At 35.3% G+C, this 18033-nt stretch overlaps 1 protein-coding gene across 19 annotated transcripts in view, besides 1 other annotated feature; it reads left to right on the top strand.

The window, feature by feature from the left end:
* CNOT6L (CCR4-NOT transcription complex subunit 6 like) overlaps positions 1-18033 on the top strand; it is a 106883-nt gene that overhangs the window by 43112 nt on the left and 45738 nt on the right. For all 19 annotated transcript variants that reach the window (NM_001387835.1, NM_001387839.1, NM_001387836.1 and 16 more), the window contains 3 exons: positions 766-887; positions 2442-2628; positions 3992-4077. In NM_001387835.1, the coding sequence (NP_001374764.1) occupies positions 776-887; positions 2442-2628; positions 3992-4077 (385 nt within the window). In that variant the 5' untranslated portion in view covers positions 766-775. The remainder of the gene's footprint in view (positions 1-765; positions 888-2441; positions 2629-3991; positions 4078-18033) is intronic.
* Positions 5794-6435: an enhancer, noted in NCBI's record as "H3K4me1 hESC enhancer chr4:78691877-78692518 (GRCh37/hg19 assembly coordinates)". NCBI's record gives its function as "activates a minimal SCP1, AML or CMV promoter by ChIP-STARR-seq in naive H9 embryonic stem cells {active_cell/tissue: H9 hESC(naive)}" and the evidence as "EXISTENCE:reporter gene assay evidence [ECO:0000049][PMID:30033119]".

Here is an 18033-nt window from a genome sequence, read left to right as displayed (position 1 = left end):
TACTCATACTAATTAGGACACTTTTGATTACTAGTAACAGAAAACACAATTCAAAGTAGCTTAAACAGTAAGAGAACTATATTGGCTTGTGTATCAGAAAAGGCCAGTATTTGGGTGTGCTACAGGTGTCATTCAGTGAGGACCCTGCCTTTGTTTTTCTGTTTTCCAGACTCTGCCTTCCATGGCTGACTTTCCTTATCGTTGTTGCGTGGCTGCCAGCAGCAATTTGGGCTGTATTCTTCTTTGTTTATGACCAGCAGGAGAGAGAAGCCTGCTTCTCCTATAAACATAGAATGAGTTCTGCGGTTTTGTGATTATTAGATACTCCTGAACTAAATCTCTGCAAGGGGAATGTCATGTGCTGATTGTCTTAGGCATGGGATATCTGAATATCACTGAGGAAAGGAGGATAGAATTACCTTATTCTCTTAGACTAGTCAGAGTCCATTCACGAAACTGCTGTGTGGGAAAGCAGTGCAGCTAAATGAAGGGAAGGAGTTAGGAAGCAACCATAATGTTCATTGCAAAGTCCAGTGCTGTTGCTTATTTGCATTTTCCCTTAGGCATCTGATAATGAGTTCCTGCAAGATCCTAGCATACTGCAGATAATGTGTGTGTTTTCTTTTTCTGCAAGTGAGAATTTGTAGTATAAAATGACTTACTAGACTGGTAATGGGAGAGAAAAGGAGTTTACCATCCTATTTTCTCTTTTTTTAAAGTAAGACTATAATAATTATTGATCTCCTCCTTTTTTTTTTTAAACAGACTAATAGGGATGCCAAAGGAAAAATATGATCCTCCAGATCCTCGCAGAATTTATACCATCATGTCAGCAGAGGAGGTAGCCAATGGGAAAAAATCTCACTGGGCAGAATTAGAAATCTCGGGTGAGTGGAATCTGAAGCATTTAATCTGGAATGTAATAGTGATAATACAAAAGTTGAGTATTGCTATATTTTTTGTTGTACATTTTTAATTAGATGGACTCATTGAAAAACTACAAGATGGTAAGATACTAGTGTTTTCTGTTTTATGTGTGACTGAATATCTTTGTTTCCATTTTTTGAGATTAATTACATTGAGCAAGCATCTGGAATTGAGGATATGGGGAGTTTAGTTTCTAAGTAAAACCAGTTTCTTTGATATAATAGATTTTGTTTAGGCTATTTCAGAGTAATTATTTTTGCAAATTGAAATCTTTGCCATCCTCCTATCTCAGTGTCGGCAAAGAAGGAAACCTGGAAGCTATTTATTCTAATAAATATATAATAACTGTGTTACAGGACCTTAATACCTGTTTAGGATTTGGTAAAATAGAATGTGATTCCTAAAAACTCATAATTCCAGTCTAATAATGAGAAAAACATCAGACAAACTCAAGCTAAAGGACCTTGTGCAAAATACCTAACTTGATTAATACTCAAAATTGTCATGGTCATGTAAAACAAAGGCTGAAACTGTCACAGACCAGAGGAGACTGAGGAGAGGTAACTAAATGCAAAATGGTAGCCTGCGTTGAATCTGGAACAAAAAGGTATAAAAACTGGTGAAATCCAAGTAAAGTCTAGAGTTTAATTAGTAGTAATGCACCAGTGTTGGTTTCCTAGTTTTGACAAATGTACCATGGTGATGATGTAGATTCTAATGTTAGGGAAGCTGAAGGAGGGGTATATAGGAACTCTCTGTGTTATCTTGGTAACTTTTCTGTAAATCTAAAATTATTACAAAATTTAAAGTTATTAAAAATAGAATATAAGTATTTTTCTTTTATGAATTGGTATAATACAGATTATATATAAAATGCCATTTTTTCCCCAGTAGGCATTCATTTGGAAGAGTTAAACCCCACATTGTAATGTCAATAGCAAGAATTACTTGCACATTTAGCTAAAAGGTAACTGGGTGGATGGATGATTGGTAGTCAAAAGAATGAATATGAGCAGATCTTACTAAGTTAATCTAGGGTTTCTTAGCCTTGGCACTACTGACACTTTGAGCTGGATAATAGTGGAGGCCTGTTGTGTGCATTGTAGGATATTTAGTAGCATTTCTGGCCTCTACTCACTAGATAGCAGTAGTACCCCTTCAGTTGTGGCAACCAAAAATGTCTCCAGGCATTCCAAAATCCTTTGAGGAAACAAAATTGCCTCTGGTTGAGAACTACTCAGTTAAACTCCAAGGGTTTCCACATTTTGCCACTTCTCATTTAATACATAGAAGGTTCTTGAGAAAGAGTGGTTGTCAGGTGAAAGTGGCATGAACGTAAAGGAGGGCCAGGTGTGTTTGGAAGCAATCAAATGGCATTAAATAAAAAATTAAAATGTCAGAGATACAATATCCATGTGTATTTGCAGCCTCTCTTACCACTTTTCAGTCGTTGTAGTTTAGGTGTCATCTTGGGCCTGGGGTTTTTTTTTACACTTCAGTATTTTGCCTTTTAGGTAGAGTGCGGAGCCTAAGTACATCACTTTGGTCATTGACACACTTGACAGCGCTGCACCTAAATGACAATTACCTTAGTCGCATTCCACCTGATATTGCCAAGCTTCATAATCTGGTTTACCTGGATCTGTCATCCAATAAACTCAGAAGTTTACCAGCAGAACTAGGAAACATGGTGTCTCTCAGGTGAGGAAATAAAACAGACATGACTCACTATATAAAATTCTAAATTTAAGAAAATGAGGGGATGTTACTTTATTACAGTAGGATTTCTGTGTGTTGTAACTATCAAATTATATAAACTGTCTAAGCATAGTGCTTGAGTTGGCCTCCGTTGAACATTTCTTTTCCTTTAAATTTGGAGGTTCCTGAATTAGAGTGTGCTTGTATTACCAGTTTCCTTGACAAACTTGAGGTGGGGTGGGGCTAAAATAGTAAGTCTCATTATCCAATATGATAAGACTGATTAGAAGTACTTGAAAAATGAAGATTTGCTGATGAATAAAACTTACAAGAACATATCTCTATTATATGAGTCAAAGAATATTTATATTTCATAATACAGCTCCTTAAGGAAACCTTAAAACCTGATGAAATGGATTTATTTCTAATTTTTAGGGATTCTTTAAAAATTCCCTAAAGAAATTCTAAAAAAATTTTGCAGGAATCTTAAGATCTTATCTAAATGTTTCCAATGATTATCTGTTGAGTAATAATTTTTAAAAATTGCTATCACGTGTTTAAACATATTGTTTTAAAATCTTGTTCTTCACTATCCTTTACTTGCTTTTTTTACTTTTGGTCATCCACTAATGAGGATGCTATTTTTTTCCTATAGGCTGCTCAAAATTTCACAATCATAAAGTTAGATCTTATTTATGCTATCCTATTCTTGTCTGTACTATCTATGCTTTATTTTAATATTTATGTTTCATGTCAGTGATTGTTGATCATAGTATATTTTTTCATCTTTTCACATTTTCTTTTGTCTTCTTTAATATACTTCACCTGTTGTTTCTTATTCTTTTTATTTTTATTAAATTTTTGGTTTGTTTTCTTAGTATTTTGATGTGATTAGAGTAGTATTCAGTTACTTAAAAAGAGATACCGGTGATTGGCTACTAATTACAGTTTATTCCTGAAGTTTGTGTAAAAATTTGTACTTTTTTCTATTAATTAGACGAGTTTCAAGGATATCTGTTGTTTAGCTGCTAAGGATATCTGTCGCATTTGCATTTGATAGGCATTTTGGGTGAGAAAAAAGGGGGTAGATTTAGCCTGAGAATGATATGCAGTTCCTACACCTCCAACTTTAATGTGAGCTAGCAAATGAGTAAATCCTAGAAATAGAACCATTGTTAATAGTTGTGGCAATTGCACATTTTGTAGTACTTTTATATTGTGCAATGTTTTTGGATGAGCACATAGAAATGTGCCTTGAATATAAACAATCACTCATAGTATGTTAGAAGGAGCCTTAAGAATGGCAAATACAGATGTTAATAAAACTTAGTATATTAAACTAATTTTTTTTTTTTTTTTAAAACAGGGAATTGCTTTTAAATAACAATCTGTTACGGGTTTTGCCTTATGAACTTGGTCGGCTCTTCCAGCTACAAACTCTAGGTTTGAAAGGTAAGTGATTTTTAAACAGTTTTGAGGTATTCTGAGCCTTTTAAAGAGCATTTTGGCCTTTAAAAAGGTCAAGTTTTAGTATGAGTTTTAGAATGTGACTACGTGTACTTTCTCTTGAAAGAAAAGTAGTTTTTGTTTGTTTGTTTGTTTGTTTGTTTGAGACGGAGTCTTGGTCTGTCGCCCAGGCTGGAGTGCAGTGGCGCAATCTTGGCTCACTGCAAGCTCTGCCTCCTGGCTTCATGCCATTCTCTTGCCTCAGCCTCCTGAGTAGCTGGGGCTACAGGCGCTCGCCACCATGCCCGGCTAATTTTTTTGTATTTTTAGTAGAGACGGGGTTTCACCATGTTAGCCAGGATGGTCTCGATCTCCTGACCTCGTGATCCGCCGGCCTCGGCCTCCCAAAGTGCTGGTATTACAGATGTGAGCCACCGTGCCCTGCCTAAGAAAGTAGTTCTTTAAGTATCAAATTGAACTTGAAGATTTCAATATGTGCCATCATATTAACAAACTTGTAAGGGGAAAATTTTTTGGTTGTTTTTGTATCTTACCTTTAATTTTTCTATAAAACTGAACTTTCTCAGAAGAGATAATTTAAATTAACACTTAAAAAAAAAAAGGGAATACTAGGCTGGTTTGAGACCAGCCTGACCAACATGGAGAAACCCTGTCTCTACTAAAAATACAAAATTAGCCGTGTGTGGTGGTGCATGCCTGTAATCCCAGCTACTTGGGGGTCTGGAAAATCGCTTGAACCCAGGAGGCAGAGGTTGCGGGGAGCCGAGATCGCGCCACTGTGTTCCAGCCTGGGCAACAAGAGCGAAACTCCGTCTCAAGAAAAAAAAGGGATTACTTTACCTAATAATAGTCTAAACCTCAGCCAGAATGCCTCATGTTTAGCTTTTGACATGGTAGATAAAATAGCATTGATGTGATTACAGGAGAGAAAACATTATAATAGTAAAATTAGCTGTACCTATTAAGTAAATTATTCTAGGTAACGTGTTAGTCCAAAATGCATGCTTCTCTGACCATCTTTCTCAGTTAATTTGGGATGAAAGGCATACTCAATTCATAGAAACACTGAAATTTGTGTAATTTTCTCTTATGGCATAGCATACAAGAGTTTATTTATGAATTAATAGGACCAAATACAAATGTTCTGTATTAGTTAAACATTTTCTTCTGTGCTCATGAGGAATAAACATCAGTCAAAGCCTTGTAAAGTATACACTTTCATAGATTTTATTTTCCTTCTTCAAAGACTATTTTAGTTTCCATGATAATGTTCTGCCTGCATTTGCTTTTGTTATATAATGGATCATTAAGAATGAAATTTGAATAAGAATAGAAAGAATGCTGATTTTATTGGTTGAAATAACACATGATAATTAGGTTTCCTTATTCAGTTTCATAAATTAGACAATTATATGAATGGTTTGAATCTTGTGTTATAGTTTCTTTGTAGGATTTTATTGATTTTTTAAATCACATATGAAGTAGAGAGGGAAAGTACTTATATCTAAAATATTTTCCTAAGGATTGAGGATTAACCCAAGGCATTTGAAATTGTACTGTTGAGACATTTCACCTCATTTTCTTTATGCTCAGTCTTATTCTTATGTAGCTGAAATAGCCATTCAGCTAGAGTTGGAGTAGGTGCAAGTCTATTCCTCACTAACAGCTGTTTTCTTCTTCCCGATATTGATAGAAAGCATATCAATGACAAATGAATAATTTACTTTTTTTTTTTGAGATGGAGTTTCACTTTTGTTGCCCAGGCTGGAGTGCAATGGCATGATCTTGGCTCACTGCAACCACCGCCTCCCGGCAACCTCCGCCTCCCAGGTTCAAGTGATTCTCCTGCCTCAGCCTCCCAAGTAGCTGGGCGTGCACCACCACGTCCGGCTAATTTTTTGTATTTTTAGTAGAGTCGGGGCTTCTCTATGTTGGTCAGGCTGATCTTGAACTCCCGACCTCAGGTGATCCGCCCACCTCAGCCTCTCAAAGTGCTGGGATTACAGGCGTGAGCCACTGTGCAGGGCGAATAATTTACTGTTGAATCCAGTGGACTTACCCTTTGTATTAGAAACATTCCTGAAAAAGCAACTGTTAGTATTTCTTACTCTTTCATAACTGTTTCATATTATCTCAAGTACAAGCATGTTTCCAGAAAATTTGTACTAAGTATCAACTGAATGAGTAATTTTGAATATTATCTCCTTAGTCCTTCATTCAGTTTTTCTAGTTAAAATGGTAGTTTTCCAAACGATTGTCTTTGGCTGGCCTTCGATTCTAGTGGCATTTTGTCTACTGATTTACGTTCTTTAAAATCTATCAAGTCAGACGCCACTGATTTACATTCATTAAAATCTATCAAGTCAGACACCAGCTCTGCTTCACGAACTGTAACTTAGCTTTGTTTATGCCTGTGGTTAAATTCTTTTTTATTAAATTTCAATTTGTTGTAAGTACCTATATGTAGCCCTTTTCTAAACTTCTTTGAGAGTCTATTTAGTTTTTTGTCAGTGTCACTTTCCAAGGTGATCCAGAAAACCAGATCTCTTCCTTTTAAAAAAGTTTAAGATGGTAATAGCAGGAGTGGCTTTTGAAGCAATTGAAGGGATACAGTGTTGCTAATGAATGGTAGTTTTATATTCTTAGGAAGGTAAAATTTGAAATAATTTCAAAGTCAGTTTTATTAGCCATATTATGGTACTTTATGTCAAAAAAATGGAATGGAACATTTGAAATAGCACTGTGATATAGTTAAACAATGAGAATGAACTGCTTCTGAGACATTTTGTCTTGAAACTGGAAGATTTTTTTTCTCTATATCCTTTTCCTCCTTTGAAACTCAGATACTGAAATTTTAGTAATGATTTGGGTCATGCTGGCTCAACAAGCTAATTTTTAGAAATTTTATTTTGAGATTTGAGGAGAGCGTGGAGAGTAAGTTATTTGAGGAATTAGGATAAGAAGGCCAATTTTAAAACTATAGACACAGACACCGCCAGTCTAGTAAGTTGGAAGTGTTCTGTGAAGTCACTTAGAAAAATAAAAATGTATTAATTTTATGAAGAAAAGGCATAAGTAGAAGCAATTCTCATACAGTTATTTTAAAAGAATTTAGAATTCATGTCCTAAGGTGTAAGGCAATACTTTATCCGACATATGGGCCAACAAGTTGTCCTTGAGCAATAAAAATTGATGTCCCAGGTCATAAAAATATGTAGGACCTCACTAATTTTGAAAATTTCTAGCTTTCTTCCAAGGATTACTTGGTCTGTTTATGGACCATGTCAGTGGAAGACTTTCTTTTACTTTGTAAATTTGTTTTATTCTTGAAATATAATATAAAAGAATAATTAACATGCATTTTAAAGAAAATAATTAAATGAATAGTCATTCTCCTATTAGCCAATATTTTAAATACCTGTTTTAAAAAAATGCACTGGGAAATATAATTTTCATTTATATAGGAGGCAAAATACTTATTTTTGTGTTGTATGTGAGCTTCTAAAAATCAATAAGAAAAAGAACAGTCTAGTAGAGAACATATTAATAGTTCGTACCAGATGATGTACAAAGAGGTCTAAAATTGGACCTGATCAGCCTTATGCATAATAATAGTACAAATTGAAATTATATTCAATTACATTTTTCACCTATCAGATTGGGAGAATTTAAAAAATATGACAAAATAGCCCTGTTGGTGAGATTATGGGGAAATAGGCACAAACACACCTTGTCATTATAGATCCCCTATACCTTTTATGTTTCCTGCGTTTTCTTTCACGATTATGTCTTTCTCCCAGATGTTACTACTACCCTGAATTTAGATATTGGGGTTATGTATGCATCTGTTAAAGGTGTTCTAACCTTTTTATGAATGGAATCCTACTGAATGTAATTTTTATGACTTGGTTTTTATTCAGCCTTATGTTTTTATGATTCAGCCATGTTGATGCATACATCTAATGACAGTTCTTTGTTTTACTGCTGTATTGTATTCTGATATGTGAATATGCTATAATTCACTCATTCTGCTGTAGATATTTAGGTTGGTTCCATTTTTGTTTTTGGCTACTATAAGCAGTACAGCCATGAACAGACTCATACATGTCTCCTGATATACTTCATAGGAGTGGAATGGGGATGTAGAGGTCTGTACATCCTTAGGTTTTTTTTAGGCAATACCATAATGTTTTACAAAGTGGTTGTACTAAAAGATTCTACTCAAAATAATACAGTTTTCATTTTCAGTCTTTTCTCCAACACTTGATATTGTCAGATTTTTAAGTTTTGTCAGTTATTGAGTATGAGTTTCTAACTGTACTCTTAATTTACATTTTCCTAATTGCTGGTAAGATTTTGCATCTTTTCATGTGTCTGTTGGCTATTATATTTATTTGAAATTACTGTTGATGTTTTTAGCCTATTTTCTATTTGATGATTTCTTATTGAATTGGAGGAGTTCTTTTTTCTATTTTGCGTTATAAGTGTCTTCTCCCACTCTATGGCTTTTCCTTTTGTTTTTCTTTCTGGTATCTTTTTAATGAGTAGAATATATATATATATATATATATATATATATATATATATATATTTATTTATTTTAGACAGAGTCTCACTCTGTTACCCAGGCTGGAGTGCAGTGGCGCGATCTCGGCCACTGCAACCTCTACCCCACGGGTTCAAGTGATTCTCCTGCCTCAGCTTCCCAAGTAGTTGGGATTTACAGGCGTGCATCACTATGCCTGGCTAATTTTTGTATTTTTAATAGAGACGGGGTTTCACCATGCTGGCCAGGCTAGTCTCGAACTCCTGACCTCAGGTGATCCTCCCACCTCAGCCTCCCAAAGTGCTGGGATTACAGGTGTGAGCCACCACGCCCTGCCAGATTTGATATTTTTAATGTAGTTGAGTTTTAAAATCTTTTCTCTTGTAGTTAGTACATTTGTGTGTTGTTAATAACAGAAATCTTGCCCTTCCCGGATCAGAAATATATTCTCTTGTATCATCTTAAAGGTTTTGAGGTTTTGCTCTTCGCAGTTAATTCTTTAATTCATTTGTAACTGATTTTTTTTTTTTTTTTTTTTTGGGGACAAAGTCTCGCTCTGTCGCCCATGCTGGAGTACAATGGTGCAAATCTCAGCTTGCTGCAACCTCTGCCTCCTGGGTTCAAGCAATTTTCCTGCCTCAGCTTCCTGAGTAGCTGGGATTACAGGCTCCCGCCACCATGCCCAGCTAGTTTTTGTATTTTTAGTAGAGACGGGTTTTCACCATCTTGGTCAGGCTGGTCTCGAACTCCTGACCTTAGGTGATCTACCTGCCTCAGCCTCCCAAAGTGTTGGGATTACAGGTGTGAGCCACTGCACCTGGCCCTTGTAACTGATTTTTAAATATAGTATGAGGGGTCTAATTTGGTGAGGAATTTAATTTTGTTTTTTCCCTATGAGTAACCAGTTGTCTCAACATCATTAGTGAATAGTTTTTCCTTTTCTCAGTGATCAGTAAAGTCACTTCTCTTGTGTATTAACCATGTCTAGGTCTATTTTGGGAATTTCTTTTCCTTTCCAGTAGTAAATTTGTCTAACCTTGTACCAATTAGCATATTGTCTTAATTATTATGGCTTTATATTAAAACTTGATACCTGGTTTTGAAAGTCTCCTCACATTTTTCTTTAGCAGTGTTTTGACAATTTGGGCACCGTGGCTCTTCCTCATACATAAGAAACAGCTTGTTAAGTTTCATGAAAAACTCTGTTTGAACTCTGGAATTTCATTGACTGTCTGGATCAATTTAGGAAGAATTGACATCTTAATTGTATTCAATCATCCTATTCATGAATTTGGGCTCTTTGTCCATTTATTTAATGTCTTCTAATAAAATTTTATAGCTTTCTACACCAATCAAGTACATCTGTTAGACTTATTTCTAGGTACTTTATACTTTTTTTTTTTTTATTGTAAACCACAACTGTCTTTTTTCCCTTTTTTTTTTTTTTTTTTTTTTTTGAGACGGAGTTTCGCTCTGTTGCCCAGGCTGGAGTGCAGTGGCGCGATCTTGGCTCACTGCAACCACTGCCTCCCGGGTTCAAACGATTCTCCTGCCTCAGCTTCCTGAGTAGCTGGGATTACAGGCTCCTGCCACTACACCTAGGTAATTTTTGTGTTTTTGGTAGAGACAGGGTTTCACCATTTAGCCAGGCTGGTCTCAAATTCCTGACGTCTGGTGATCCACCCTCCTTTGCCTCTCAAAGTGCTGGGATTACAGGTATGAGCCACCGTGCCTGGCCAACTGTTTTATTTTTTAAGGTTTTTTCTTCTTTTTTTTTTTCTCTTTTCTTGGTTATTTCCTATTTGCTATTGGATATAGAAATACAATTGGTTTTGTTTTTTGTTTGTTTTAAAATTAATCTTATAGTGAGCCTTCTTGGCTAAACTCTCATTCTTCTAAAAACTTGTCTGCAAATTTTTTGGAGTTTTACATGCAGTAATCATTTCATCTGCTGAAAATTATGGCTTTTTTTTTTCTTTTCCAGTTCTTACATATTTAATTTTCTTATTTTAATGCACTGACTCTAGGATAATTCATATGATGTTGAGTGGAAGCATTAATACTGGGCGTACTTCTGTTGTTTCCAGTTTTAAAGGGACTGCTTCTAATAGTTTTTATTAAGAATGATACTTGCTGTATGTTTTTGTTAAAAAAGTTTTTTAGATTTTAGAAGTTTCCTTCAATTCCTACTTTGCTAGTTCATTTTCAGATATTTTATCAAGTACTTTTCTCCTGTAGAGATGATTATATTATTTTTCTCATCAAAAGTTAATAAGGTAAATGTATGGTAAAATATATATATACATATACATACACACACTTTTTTTTCCAATTTTAAACAAATTTGCATTGCTGAGATAAACTCAACTTAGTCATGTTGTTACATACTTTGGATTTAATTTGATAAATATCTGTCTAGAACTGTAAAGGCTTTGAGATTTTACCCTACTTAAAAGCTCATAAGTTAGGCAGTTACTGGTTCATGGATGGTGGCAGAAGACATAAGATTCCTGGGTCAGAGAAAAAGAACATTATTACTCAAGCTACAAAATGGGCCCAGATGCAGGCTGTGTACACAGTCAGTTTGTATTGCATGCAATTGAGTAATCCAGGTCTGGGGTCCAGCACTTTTTAAGTAAGCAGCAAATATTGTAGCAAAATAGCGAAAAGCTACTAGTCTTGCTTCCCCAGGGTAACAGTTACATGATAGTAATGATGGGTTGCCTTGACCTGTTTAGTTGCCTATATAAGTAATTATAGAAATTACTCAGTATCAAGAGACAGATAACCCTTGGAATCAGTCACACTAACCAAGAATGCAGAGGGAGGCACAAGGCCCATAGTAGACTGATTCTCCTAACAATTTTTTAAAGGATTTTTCTGTGTATGTTCATGAATAAAGTAGACCTGTGTCTTTCATGCATGTGTATCTAAGGTTTATAATGACCGTAGAAGCAGTGGGGAAAATTCTGTATTATTCAGTTCTCTGAAAGAGTTTATGTAAAATTGAATTAATGTATTCCTTGAAATCTTGGTAAAACAGTCCTGTAAAACTGTCATTGCCTGGTGTTTTCTGTTTTCATTGAGAAGATGTTAACTACTATTTCAATGTATTTTAGTTATGAGAACTTTTGAGAAATTTTTTTTTTTAAGTGAAAGCAAGTTTATTAGGAAAGTAAAAGAATAAAAGAATGGCTACTCCATAGGCAGAGCAGCCCTTAGGGCACTGGTTGCCCATTTTTATGGTTATTTCTTGATTATATGCTAAACAAGGGGTGATTTTTTCATGCCTCCCCTTTTTCGACCATATAGGGTAACTGTCTGACATTGCCATGGCCTTTGTAAACTGTCATGGAGCTGGTGGGAGTGTAGCAGTGAGGACGATTGGAGGTCACTCTTACTGCCATCCTGATTTTGGTGGGTTTCAGCCGGCTTCTTTATGCAACCTGTTTTACCAGCGAAGTCTTTATGACCTGTATCTTGTCCTGACCTCCTGTCTCATCCTGTGACTTAGAATGCTTAACCATCTTGAAATGCAGCCCAGTAGGTCTCAGTCTTATTTTACCCAGCCCCTACTCAAGATAGAGTTGCTCTGGTTCAGAGAACTCTGACATTTCTCTGCTCCCTTTTATAAGAGAACCTTTAATCCTAAGGGTTGCAGAGGGACAAGAGTGCATCTTCTGTAACTTCTTCATGCTGAACAGGGGCGATGATATTCCTTTCTAACTTTTAGGGTCTCTTGTATTTGGGGTAGAGAGGAGCTCAGTCAGAAAGCGTCAGTATGTTGAGAGCCATTCATAATTCCGAGTTCTGACAAAAGGTGATACCTAAAGTTGGCCGATTGCTGTTGTGCGCAGATGATTTTCCTTTGGGTCAGGGGTCTTTTCAGTATTACTGCTTCCATGGTTTGCCAGAAAGATGTTACTGGAAAGGGGTCCCAATTCCAGTTCTTGGATCTCCTGCAAGAAAGAGTTTGGGGCAAATCCATACGGTAAAGTGAAAGCAAGTTTATTAGGAAAGTAAAGGAATAAAATAAAATGACTACTCCATAGGCAGAGAGCCAAGAAATTTCTGTTAATGAGTCAATTTTGTTGGATCATCTCTGATATTTTCCCTTTTCTCTTTTTAAATGGGACATACGATTTATTCATATTTAGATTTACATGTTTTATCTAATTTTATTATCTTTTTCTGGAATATGACATCCAATACATGCAATATATTAGTAAAGTGATTCATATATAGTTACTATATAATTATCTATATATTCATAGTCCGTTTCCAGCTATTGTTTAGCTGGTATTAGACTGTGATACTTAAAATGTGGAGATTATTATGCCTTTAATTCCATATTACCGTGGAGCTTCTTCTGGTTCTAACAAGACAGCAGAACTCAACTATGCTAAAGGCATCAGTATATGTTGGTGGCAACTATGCATTGTTTGGTTCTGGAAGTTGAGATAAATGTGTACCTATACTGGATTATAGATTTACATACTTTCAAATATAAGCATTTAAGGCTACAGCTTTGCCTGTTTGGCTACTTTTTTGTTGCATACACTATTTTGATAGGAAGTATTTCATTACTGTTTCGGTCTAAGTATTTTTAATATGGGTTATTATATCTTCCTTGACTTGTCGGTTATTTAAAATATTATTTAAAATTTCCATGCATGTGATTTTAAATTTATTTTTATTGTTAGCTTTAAACCTAATTGCATTATAGACTAATGAACCAGTTCTGTGACATTTGTTGATTCTTGCCCTATGGCATAGTATATGATTGGTTTTTGTAAATGTTCAACCTGTATCTGAAAAGAATTTCTTTTCTCTAATTGTTGGGCACAGGATTTATATATTTGTCCATTAGTTCAATTTGTAAGTTGTATTTCTCAGATTTCCTATGTCTTTAGAAATTTTTGACTGTTGGCTTTTTCTGTATTTTTGTTAAAATTTCCATTAAAATGGAATTGTTTATTTTCTTATGTAGTTCAGTCAGTTTTTGCTCTACATATCTTGGGTTTATTTTATTAGGTAGTTCCCACTTAATATTGTTATAATCTTATGATGCTAGTGTCTTTTGGTGAATTGAACCCAATACTAGGTACTGAGCTTCTTATTAGGATTTTTTCTTATAGTCTGTATTTCTAATATAGCTATGCCAATTTTCTTTTGGTTAATGTTTGTCTAGTATATATTCTCTCATCCATTTACTTTCAACCTTTTGTGTGCTTACATTTAGGTATAGCTCTTATAAATAGTATATAGCTGGACTTTGTTTTTAATCCATTCTACTCTTTGTTTTTAATGTGGGTTCAGACCAGTTGCCTTACATATAATTATTGGTATTTTTGTTATTGCTGTCCTACCTTTTGATTCCACTGTGGGTAATTTTTTTCTGCTTCCTCGCTTTTCTAAAAGTAGGTTTTTCCCATATTTTTCATTCTATTTACTTTCTCTTCGTTTGAAATTGCTCTATTCTGTTTCTAGACTCCTTGTGTTTATTCTTGAAATGGTGCCTTGAATATATTTTTTTAAAGATTACTTTTAAAGTAACTTTAAAAATTGACCTGCTATTTATACATAGTGAAATTCTTACCTCTTTGGTGTATAGTTCAGTGAATGTTGACAGACATGTAGTTGCATAACCAGCACCACAGTCAAGAAATAGAACAGTTCCATCACTCTCCAAAATTCATTTATGCCTGCTGAAGTCAATACCTTCTTCTCTCAGCCCTTGACAACTACTTTTCCAGAATGTCATATATTGGAACATACAGTATGTCACCTTTTGAGTCTGGATTCTTTGGTTTAGCATAATGTGTTTGAGGTTCATTCATGTTGTGTGTATAAAACCTGTGGCACATCCATATAATGGAATATTACTTAACAATAGAAATGAAGGCAAATTTGTTTTTTTGAAATTTTATAGTTTTAGATTTTACCTTTAGGTTGATGGTTTGTTTTGAGTTAATTTTTATATACGGCACAAGGTTTATTATTTTGCATATGCATGTCTAGTTATTCTAGCACTATTTGTTGAAAAGATTATACTTTCTACATGGGATTTTCCTTGCAACTTTGTCAAAATTCAGTTGCCCAAATATGTGTGGATCTACTGCTAAACACACTATTCTGTCCCATTGTTCTATGCTAATATCAAAATGTTTGATTGTTGTAGTTTTATGATCAGCTATGATACAGGGATTATAAGTTTCCAAACTTTGTTCATAGTTTTCCAAGTTGCATTGACATTTCTAGATACTTTGCATTTTCATATACATTTTAGAATGAACTTATGATTTATGCAAAATATCCTGCTGAAATTTGTCATGGGATTATGTTGAATATACAGATCAGTTTGTGGATAATCAATACCTTAATCTTGAGACTTAATACTGAGTCTTTCACTCCAGTATAGCTCTTCATTTACACAGATCTTCTTTGCTTTATTTTCAAATAAAGTTTTGTAGTTTTCAGGGTATAGATCTTGTAAATATTTTGCTAGATGTATATCTACTTACTTGATTTTTTATGCTATTGCAAATGGTACTGCTTTTTAAATTTTCAGTTATTCATTGTATAGAATTAAATACAATTGATATTTAATTGTATTGGGCTTGTCTCTTGTGATGTTTGTAAATTTACTTTTTCTTGGAGCTTTTTACGAACTCTTGATCTGTGAACACAGTTTCATTTCTTCCTTTCTGATATGTATTTTTAATTTCCTTTTTCTTGCTTTATCACATTGGCTAGGACCTCTAGTACTATATTGAATAGAAGTGACAATGGTGCACATCCTTACCTTGTTCTTGATTTTAGGGGGAAAGCATTATCTTTCACCATTAATGTTAACTGTAGATTTCTGGTAGATATCCTTTCAGGTTAAATAATTTTTCCTTCTTCCCCACATTTGCTGAATGGTTTTTGTCATTAATGCAAGTTGAATATGGACAAATACTCTCTGGAAGTTGTTGCTATTACTTTTATTTTCAGGAAGAGTTTTCAGAATGCTTTAGAACTCAAAACGTTTCTGTTACTGCTTTCTTAAATGATTGGTAGCATTTTCCAATAAAACCATATGAGCTTGGAATTTTCTTTATGGAAACATTTTTAACTTCTACATCAATTTCTTTTGTAGATACAGGTCATTAAGGTTATCCTCCCACCTTTTTCTTTTTTTCCCCTATAGCCATGTCAGCTTTCTCCTGCAGTCATTTGGTTGATTCTCCTGCACTAATTTGGTTAATTCTCAGTGTTCTCAAATAGTTGATTCTGACAACTTTTTTGTTTTGTTTTGTTTGTTTGTTTGGATTTTTTGGTCATCGTTGCTTGTACAGAGCAGCACATTTTTGGAGGTTTTTACTCTGCCATTTTTGCTGATGTTTTCTATCCATTTCATTTTGAGTGAGCTTTGGTAGTTTCTGTCTTTCAAGGAATTTGTCCATTTCTTCTAAGTTGTTAAATTTACACACATATAGTTTTCTTAATATTTCCTTTCCCTGGCTGGGCAGAGTGGCTCATGCCTGTAATCCCAGCACTTTGGGAGGCCGAGGTGGGCAGATGACGAGGTCAGGAGATCAAGACCATCCTGGCTAACACAGTGAAACCCTGTCTCTTCCTTAAAAAAAAAAAAAAAAAAAAAAAAAAAAAAAAAAAGCCAGGCATGGTGGTGTGCACCTGTAGTCCTAGCTACTCAGGAGGCCGAGGCAGGAGAATGGCGTGAACCTGGGAGGCGGAGCTTGCAGTAAGTCCAGATTGCACCACTGCACTCCAGTCTGAAAAAAAAAAAAATTTCCTTTCCTTTTACTGTCTTTTTGGCTGTCCCTTCATTGTTGATATTTATAATTTGTGTCTTTTCGTTCTGGTCAAAGAGAAATGTATCAGTTTTATTGCCTCTTTTTCAAACTGTGCCACGCTTTGAATTCGGTATTTTTTTTTTTAATTTTATTGATTTCTGCTCTTATTTCTTCTGCTTGCTTTGGGTTTCATTTGTTCTTATCGAGTTTAGATCTTTTTGTTTCTAATATCAGCATTTAAAGCTGTAAGTTTCCCTCTAAAAACTGGTTTTTCCATATCCTACAAATTTTGATAGTGTCATGTTTCCATTTTAACTCAAAGCATTTAATTATACTTTTATTTTTTGAGACAGGGTCTCAGTCTGTCACCCAGGCTAGAGTGCAGTGGTCTTATCATAGCTCACTGTAGCCTCTAACTCCAGCACCCAAGCAATCCTCCTGTTCAGCCTCGTGAGTAGCTGAGACTATAGGTGCACACCACCATGCCCAGTTAAATAATTTTTTTTGTTTGTAGAGATGGGGGTCTCACCATGTTGCCCAGGCTGGTCTTGAACTCCTGGCCTCATGGAGTTCTCCCACTTTGGCCTCCCAAAGCACTGGGATTACAGGTGTGAACCACCATGCCCGGACCAATTAAAACATTAAAAAATCTCCTGGTGACATCCTTTTTGGCTCATGGATTATTGGGAAGTGTGATGTTTAATTTCAGAATATTTGGGAACTTTCTGGGTATTTGTCTGTTGGTATCTAGTTTTATTAGGCCATAACTGTATGTTTTGTATGATTTTATTTCCTTTTTAATCTGTTACAGTTTGTTTTCTGGCCCAGAATATGGTCTCACTGGTGAATGTTCATGTGCACTTGGAACGAATGCATATTTTTTGGTTTCCGAGTGGAGTATTATGTAAATAATAGGCCAAGTTGGTTGATAGTGTTCTGTTTTTCAACCTTACTAATTTTTTGTGTGCTTTTTTCTGTCAGTAACCATAGGAGTGTTTGAAGTCTCAATTACAATTCGTGTAACTCTTTGGGGATACTATTTTATTGTATTCTAGCTCCTGTTGTCGCTGCTGACACTTGTCATTCTCCTGTTTATTCTTTTGATATGGTTGTTCTTTCAACCCATCTTGGTTGTTTTTTTTTTTCTTCTTTTTTGGAGACGGAGTCACGCTGTGTCGCCCAGGCTGGAGTGCAGTGGCGCAATCTCGGCTCACTGCAAGCTCTGCCTCCCGGGTTCATACCATTCTCCTGCCTCAGCTTCCCAAGTAGCTGGGACTACAAGCGCCCGCAACCACGCCTGGCTAATTTTTTGTATTTTTAGTAGAGACGGGGTTTCACTGTGTTAGCCAGGATGGTTTCGCTCTCCTGACCTCATGATCCACCCGCCTCGGCCTCCCAAACTGCTGGGATTACAGGCGTGAGCCACCGTGCCCAGCCACAACCCATCTCGTTTTAAAGTCTTCTGTTTGTCATTTTCTAGTTTGCACTATAATCTGTTTTTAAATGAAATCCTTTCATAAACTTCTTTGTATATATTGTGCATCTTGTATCAGTTTATTTATTTAAAAAACTGGTTTTTGAAAATTTGCAGCCTTT

This window comes from Homo sapiens, chromosome 4 (genome assembly GCF_000001405.40).
Source record: "Homo sapiens chromosome 4, GRCh38.p14 Primary Assembly".
NCBI classification, from domain to species: Eukaryota; Metazoa; Chordata; class Mammalia; order Primates; family Hominidae; genus Homo; species Homo sapiens.
The sequence above is the reverse complement of the archived record's forward strand: the minus strand, read 5'-3'. Positions and strand labels throughout refer to the sequence as shown.